The sequence below is a fragment of the Homo sapiens genome, chromosome 3 (genome assembly GCF_000001405.40).
Source record: "Homo sapiens chromosome 3, GRCh38.p14 Primary Assembly".
Lineage (NCBI taxonomy): Eukaryota > Metazoa > Chordata > Mammalia > Primates > Hominidae > Homo > Homo sapiens.
The window spans coordinates 65,149,284-65,156,622 of record NC_000003.12 but is presented as its reverse complement, the minus strand read 5'-3'; the positions used below and the strand labels follow the sequence as shown (position 1 = coordinate 65,156,622).

The 7,339-nt window shown below is 41.5% G+C and overlaps 1 annotated feature.

Moving 5' to 3' along the window:
• Nucleotides 2,120–2,893: an enhancer, noted in NCBI's record as "OCT4-NANOG-H3K4me1 hESC enhancer chr3:65139405-65140178 (GRCh37/hg19 assembly coordinates)". NCBI's record gives its function as "activates a minimal SCP1, AML or CMV promoter by ChIP-STARR-seq in primed H9 embryonic stem cells {active_cell/tissue: H9 hESC(primed)}" and the evidence as "EXISTENCE:reporter gene assay evidence [ECO:0000049][PMID:30033119]".

The window sequence follows — 7,339 nt, the reverse complement described above, 5'->3', positions numbered from 1 at the left end:
CTTTCATGCTGAACCCTAAGACAAAGTATGATAGCCAGCCTCCAAGATCTTCCCCAATGATCCTAGCCTCTCTCGTGTATCCATACCCTTGTATGGTTCCATCCCATATTGTATGAGGCTGGCCTGTTTGACCAATAGAGTCCTGCAGAAATGACTGTGTGTGACTTCCAAGGCTAAGTCATAAAAGATATCATGACTACTGCCTTGCTCTTGTGGATCGTGTCCTCTGGGGGAAGCCAGTTGCCATGTCAGGAAGACCCTTAAGCAACCCTGTGGAGAAACTCACATGGTAAGGCCAACTGCTAACAGCCAATACCAACTTACCAGTCACCTGAGTGAACCATCTTGGAAGTAGATCTGTCAGCCCTAATCATGCCTTTAACTGATGGCAACCTCATGAGGGTCCTAGAACCAGAGCCTCTCAGCCAAGCTTCTCCTAATTTCCTGACCTATAGAAACTACAAGAGGTTATAAATGTATATTGTTTTAAGCTGCTAAATTTGAAGATAATTTGTTACATTGCAATAGATATCTAATGCGTAGTGTTTGAAAGGTGATTCCCGGAAGTTTAAATGAGTGAGGAAAATGAGACAGGGAAGACAGAAGTCAATATGTTGATGAATGAGTTACTGCTATAGACAAATGGGTTCAATCCCACTGGGGATCCTGCGATCCTTGTATAGGATGCACCTGAGAACAATGCCCATGAAGGAAGGGGACGCTTGCTTATTTTCCCAGTGATTCCCATTTCTTCACTGGATAAAGTTTTCCTCTGGAAGCATTAAATCCTTAGTACTTGCAGGCTGCCTTGCCCTTGGGTTTCCAAGGAATCAGAAAATCCTTAGCCAGAAGAGCAGAGAGTTGCACGTGGTGGAAACAGGAAGCTACCCTAAGGCAAAAGAACTGTCCACAGAGCCCAGAATTGAGCTCAGGGGTGAGTTGGACTTAGTGAAGGATGGGTTGGATGATGGTGGCACTTGGGTAATGCCTGCCACATAGCTTCGTAGACTTTGTCATTGCCACACTTTGAGAAGGCACTCCCAATCAATTAGAGTTAGGGTTTGAGATAATGTTCATTTGTCTTCTTCAGTTGATAATGTACTCCCCACTCTTTTTTCTGGCCCCTCCACTTAACACCACTTTCCACCTGGTGAATTCTCGTTTAATTCACAAAGGTCAAAGGATACCCACTCCATGAACCTTTCCTAATTATGCCTCCTTAGCCTGGCTAAGTTAGCTTCCCTTTCTTCTGATTCTCTGTTTTCAATAGTTACATGGATTGTCACTGTTTCTTGATGTGTTTGTCTCCCACCTGTGGGTGAGCTTTTGCTCATCTTTGTATTCTGAATGTCTGGTATGTATTAGGCCCTCAAAAAATGTCAGCTGCTGGTCATAGGTGGAAGCTAAGAAAAGCTGATCTCATAGAAGCAAAAAGTAGAACAGAGAATACTGGAGGCTGGGAAGGGTAGGGGGAAGGGAGGGAAAGGGAGCCATTTGCTAAAGTGGCAAAATGACAGCTAGCTAGGAGGAATTAGTTCTAGTGTTCTATAGCACTGTAGGATGACTAGAGTTAACAATAATATATAGTTTCAAATAGCTGGAAGGAGGATATTGAATGTTCCTAACACAAAGAAATGATAAATATTAAAGATGATGGATATGCTAATTACCCTGTTATGATCACTACACATTATATGAATTGAAACACTATGTATCCCATAAATTTGTATAATTATTATATGTCAATTAAACAGAGGAAAAAACTTAAGAAAGAAAAAAATGTGAGCTGAAAGCAAAACTAGAGGAGTCGGGGAAATGTCTAAACCGCAGTGTTCTACAATATTCTCTCGGTTTATTTTCCCTACAGAGGTACTCATAGATGTTTTATTATGGTTAAAAGAAAACTATTTACGTCCTTCAGGATTACCGGGATTTCTCTGTATAGCAGTAAGCCAATTGAGAATGAAGATTTGCCAAACTGACCAGGTTTGAGAAGATGTAATGTTAAGCCTCAGGCCATCCAATACCTGAATTAACTTACCATATGTACTTTTCAATCTGTTCTATCTTATCTTGGTAGAGAAACTTTTGCACTTAAAAAAAAAAAAAAAGATTCTCCAAGGCAAAGGCACGAAATGGATATGTTGCCATGTTAACTGTGGTGCATGAGATTTGGTTGCTATTAAAGTTCGAAGAATGAGGTTTACATCTGAAGGGAAAAAGTGACCAGCAGCATTTCAGAGCTGGCATTGTTTCTAAAAGTGCCCAGGGAACAATCCCATCCCCAAACATTAACAGATGTCATTCTCTTGTCCTGGATTGACCCGGGGCCCTTACCCATGGTTCACTTGTGATTTAACCAGCGTGGATTAAGTTATCTTTCCCTTCAGGGCAGGACAAGCAGAGAGAAGTTTCATTTTGGCTTATTTTGTTTTGTTTTTACCCCCTCTGAGCCATTCCATGGCTTATGTTGGGTGCATTGAACAGTTGCTGGACCCGGAGAATCCCTTGTTCTCAGATGCCAAGAGTTAAATGGATTCAGTGCATTGTCCAGGGGGCGTTATGAAAGGTGCTAACAGATGCGGATTTCAGCTTTGTCATTAAAATGCTTCTCAAACGCCACCTGATGTCCCTGGGTTAGAGGTTTTCTTTCAGCCTTTTCTCATTACATTTTAGCTCTGTTTTGTGAACTAAACCTTTGAAGAAACTTGAGAGCTATTTTGGAAACCCAAGAATTAGAAAACATGAAATGTCTATAGCTCTGAAATATGCATGTGACCTTATTCCCCATGCCTGTGGTGCAGGGAAGGCAAAAGCAGATGCTAAGTGTTTTTCTGTGCTCTGAAAATATCATATTCCTTAAAAAATTTGCCATTAATTATATTATAATGATCTGTACACAATAGTTTCCACTGCGGTCTTTGTAGAAAATCCTTAAAATTGGGTGCTAAAAAGATTCATACCATGTTTGGATCATAATAATGTGTGGAACTTTTGAATGCTTTTATTTTTCCTAAAGGTGTACATAATAAATCTAATAATAAGCACCCAAATGCTCTTTCTTCTTTTTTTTGAGACGGAGTCTCGCTCTGTCGCCCAGGCTGGAGTGCAGTGGCGTGATCTCGGCTCACTGCAAGCTCCGCCTCCCGGGTTCACGCCATTCTCCTGCCTCAGCCTCCCGAGTAGTTGGGACTACAGGCACATGCCACCACGCCCGGCTAATTTTTTGTATTTTGTTTAGTAGAGATGGGGTTTCACCATGTTAGCCAGGATGGTCTCGATCTCCTGACCTTGTGATCCGCCTGCCTCAGCCTCCCAAATTTCTTTCTTCTTATAGTTACCTGTAGTAAAGACAAAGACTAAATGCCAGTATCAGGCTCAGGATTTACATTATTAGGAGTGGTTTGGGACCCATCTAACTGCAAGTAAAATAGAAATCTTTTAATTCAGCTGATTTCATTTCACTTCAGCTCTAGTGGCACAATCGAGTTTTGCTGGGGTCTGATTCAATTAGGATTGTAAGCAATTTCTGGCTATTCACAGCAGAAAAGCAGTGTCATGTGCATCTCTGAGGATGCCCTTTACACAAATAATCCCGCTTTCACCAATTAGGAAATGACCTATTATAGGCCTGAAATATCAAGGATATGTCTAGTATTTGTTGGCCAAGCATCCCATCTCCTTTCCTTGGAGAACCACCCATTTCCCACTCCCACCCTCCTCACTACCCTAAGCCCTAGATGGGGATAATTCTATTTTGAGGGTCCAGGGGTGCGTTCAAGACTCAGGCCAAGCCAATTCAGGATCAATTTTCCCTGATTGCAGTGATTTGGTTCAGGGATGGGCACCTGTATTAAATTAGGCCCATCAAGAGCTTTCCGAGGAGTTTTGCTGGAATTATCAGACAAGAGTTCCACTTGTCTTCAGACTGAGATTTTAAGAAACTTTTCTATTCAGAATTGTAAGTGGCCACTTTTGGCACCAAATGGAGAGAACCCACCATCAAAATTAAGAAATCCAGAGGAGAGAGGAGCCAAGGAAAGGTGAGAGAGTTATTTCGAGGAACTGACTTTAGCCTTCCCTATTATATGAGCCAATAAGTCCTCCTTTCGTTGTTGTTTTGGCTCTAGAAGTTGGAATCCAAACTAATATACAGAACTACCTTGGAGATCCTTGGCAGGCTGACTGGAGTGTGACCTCCTGTAGATGTGACACGGTCCTGGGAGGTGAGGCGGGGGTTTCCACAAAGACATGACCTGCTCTGGCTGTCATTCCATTTTTTTGACTTGAATACCCTAATTTTAGGCAGTTGTGTTTTTGTTTGTTTGTTTTCGTTTTTGCCCATTTTTGGGGGGTGGAGGAAGCCAGAATGAATGCAGGACAGGTACATGAGTTCTCATCCTTGCTCTGCACTAACCCGTGACCTTGTGCAAATCCTTTCCAGTGCCACAGCCACTGGCTTCCCCTCTGTGGATTGCAGTTTCTTTGATGTTGAACCTATGTTGGTAAAGTTTAAACTCTTCTGAGGCACCCTCGCATTTCTGGGAGGAATTCACCTTAGGAAATAGAGATCAAGTCATCCCAATTCCGGCTCTTTACCACATTTCCCTCCCTGTTCAACCTGCAAGTAATCTTTTACCTATTTTATGTTTAAGATTGCACTTGAAAAAGAAAAAAAAGTCCCTTTTTAAAAAATGTTTGAAAACCACTGAAGAGGTCTCTAACCTTCCTTTCAGCTTGCTTCGCTGACGTCATCAAGATACTAATCTCTGAGAACGTTATGTTGAAGGAGTCAGAGCCTGGTCTGCACATGAGCTGGGCTAAGCCTCCTTATAGATCCTCAGGCCCTATTGATACAATGAGCCAAAGGCATTATGTTGCCCTTTTCCCTTTTTAAATGGTGGGTTTGCTTTCTCGATAATTCTAAGGATATTTAAATCCGTGACCTTCTTTCCCAAAAGGACCTATTTGATAAATAGTGTATTGTATTTATTTCTTATTAAGATGAATGGTTTACACAATTTAAAAATTATATAAATAGTACTTGCTCATTATAGAGATTTTTAAAAATCAGAAATTAAGAAAAAAAAATCCATAGTCTCATTATCCAAAGACAAGCCAGTCTTCTGCTGAAGTCTCCCTGATAGCTTTCCACTGCCTTTGGGAGCAAATTTCCTTGCCTGGGTCTGACCCGGCATAGTTATAACCCTTGCCCATTCCCCTTTTGCAGTTAATGTCTTCTCTGACTTCTTTTAGTCCACTGAAAGGGCTCACTTGCTTTTACCACTAGACCTCTGTGTCTCCTGTTACCACCTTCTCCATCTTGCTGGTTCCTCCTTGAGTTGCAGATCTCAGCTGAGATGGCTCTACCTCTGGGAAAACTTTTTTTCCCAACAGGGGCTCTGATAGACACTTGCTCTCAAAATATCTTCTCTTTTCCTGAGCATTTACCACAAGTTGGTATTGTTACTGGTTTATTTACCTATGTCTCCTCTGTAGCTCCATGATAAGAAAAACTAGTTGAATTGTTTTCCCCATTATTACTGCCAGTGCTTAGTCCTCATCTGATACAGTTACTCTGTGTAGATTGGCTCAATGAATCAGTGTTGTTTAACCACTGAATTGTTCAGTATATTTCTTTTGTCTTATTTTCCTTATTATTTTTAAACATAGTTTGTGCCAACTGTTGAAGTGTTGGTTGTGCTCTGGATGTTCTGTTAAACAATTCGTGCAGCATGTGAGAGCCTTCTCTCCTTCTCAATTGTTGTCTCTTCCATGCTAAGGCATTAATATTATTTATGTGCCCCCTTCTCTGTGCCAGACACTGTGCTGGGTGCTTGTCCATACACGAGCTCTGGTGTATCATCTAGGGCAATGCAGAACAGGGAGACTTTATCGTTCTCATCTCTACACTAGAAATTGGAGCCTGTTAGAAGTTAAGTAACTTACCCAAGGACACCCAACTGTCGAGCGTCTATATTGAGATCTGAACTGGGATTCAGATGTTTCTGAATTAAAGGTATCACTTTACCTCTTGTCTTTTTTTCATTCAGGTTGCTATAACAACATACCATCAACTGGGTGGCTTATAACCAATGGAAATTTATTTTTCATAGTTCTGGAGACTAGAACGTCCAAGATCAAGACACTTGCAGATTTGGTGTCTCATGCCGGCTTTCTGGTTTCTAGATAGTTCCTTCTTGCTGTGTCCTCACGTGGTGGAAGGGGCAAGGTGACTCTCTGGAGTTTCTTTTATAAGAACACTAATCCCATTCATGATAGTAGAGCCCTTTTAACATATTTTGGGGAGACATAACATTTAAAATGTAACACCCCTTTGTTTCTTGGCCTGTGAACTCAGGCCAATCTAAAAGGAAGTTTTGTTGGTCTCTATTGAAGTTTTCACTGGGCCGCAAAGTAAAGAACTTTAAAAAAGTAACATCTTCTCCTAATTCAATCTGCTAACCAGAGGGTAAAGTGACATAGTACAAATGCAATCATAGGTAAAAGATTAACCTATTTTAATATGGAAGGTCTTTTGTTGTTGCTGCTTTGGAGGAGTTGACTTAGCCCATCTGGGAATGAGGTACCTTCCTGATATGCCAAGTAAATACTTCCTCTCACTGGCAAGAGGTAGAAATGAAAGAATTCTATTTTAAAGATCAAGTCTTCCCTGTCCTCAAGGAAGTGACAACCAAATTTTTGCTTGACACATTTGGATTCTGTTTTAAATGAGGCACTGAAGGTTTCTAGTAGGCCAAAAAAGAAAACAGGATTAGGGGGTGGTGGATAGTAGAACGGTAGTCTGTGTGTGTGTGTTGGGAGAGGTGGCAGAGAAGCACAAAGAAAGGAAACTAAAGCCTGTCGCTCTGGGAAGAAGGGATTCGAGGTGACTAGGCTCTGCTTAGAAGGTGCCTGGTGAAGTGCCCTGAGAAGAAGCACTGGGTCGAGAATTTATCAATACACTTATACAAATTTAGAAAATAAGCATGAACTCTGCAAGAGCTCCGCCCAATTGACAATCCAATTTTCACACCAGGGTTCTCTAATTACTCTTAGCAATGACTATCTCGCACGAACAACACGTGGGCCCAAGCCACAAGGCCTTTTTCTACCCTCATCTGAGGACATGGAGGAAGGTACGTGTACCTTCCCGCATTGTTACCAAGCTACTATAGATTTGAAGGGGCCCTTTGAAGCGGGATGGAGGTGAGCACTTTCTATGTGTGGAATGGGGCTGAGCACTGGGGAGGTATGTCTCTGTATTAGTCAGGGTTCCCCAGAAAGACAGAGCCAATAGGATATATATATATAGATAGATAGTTATAGATATAGATAT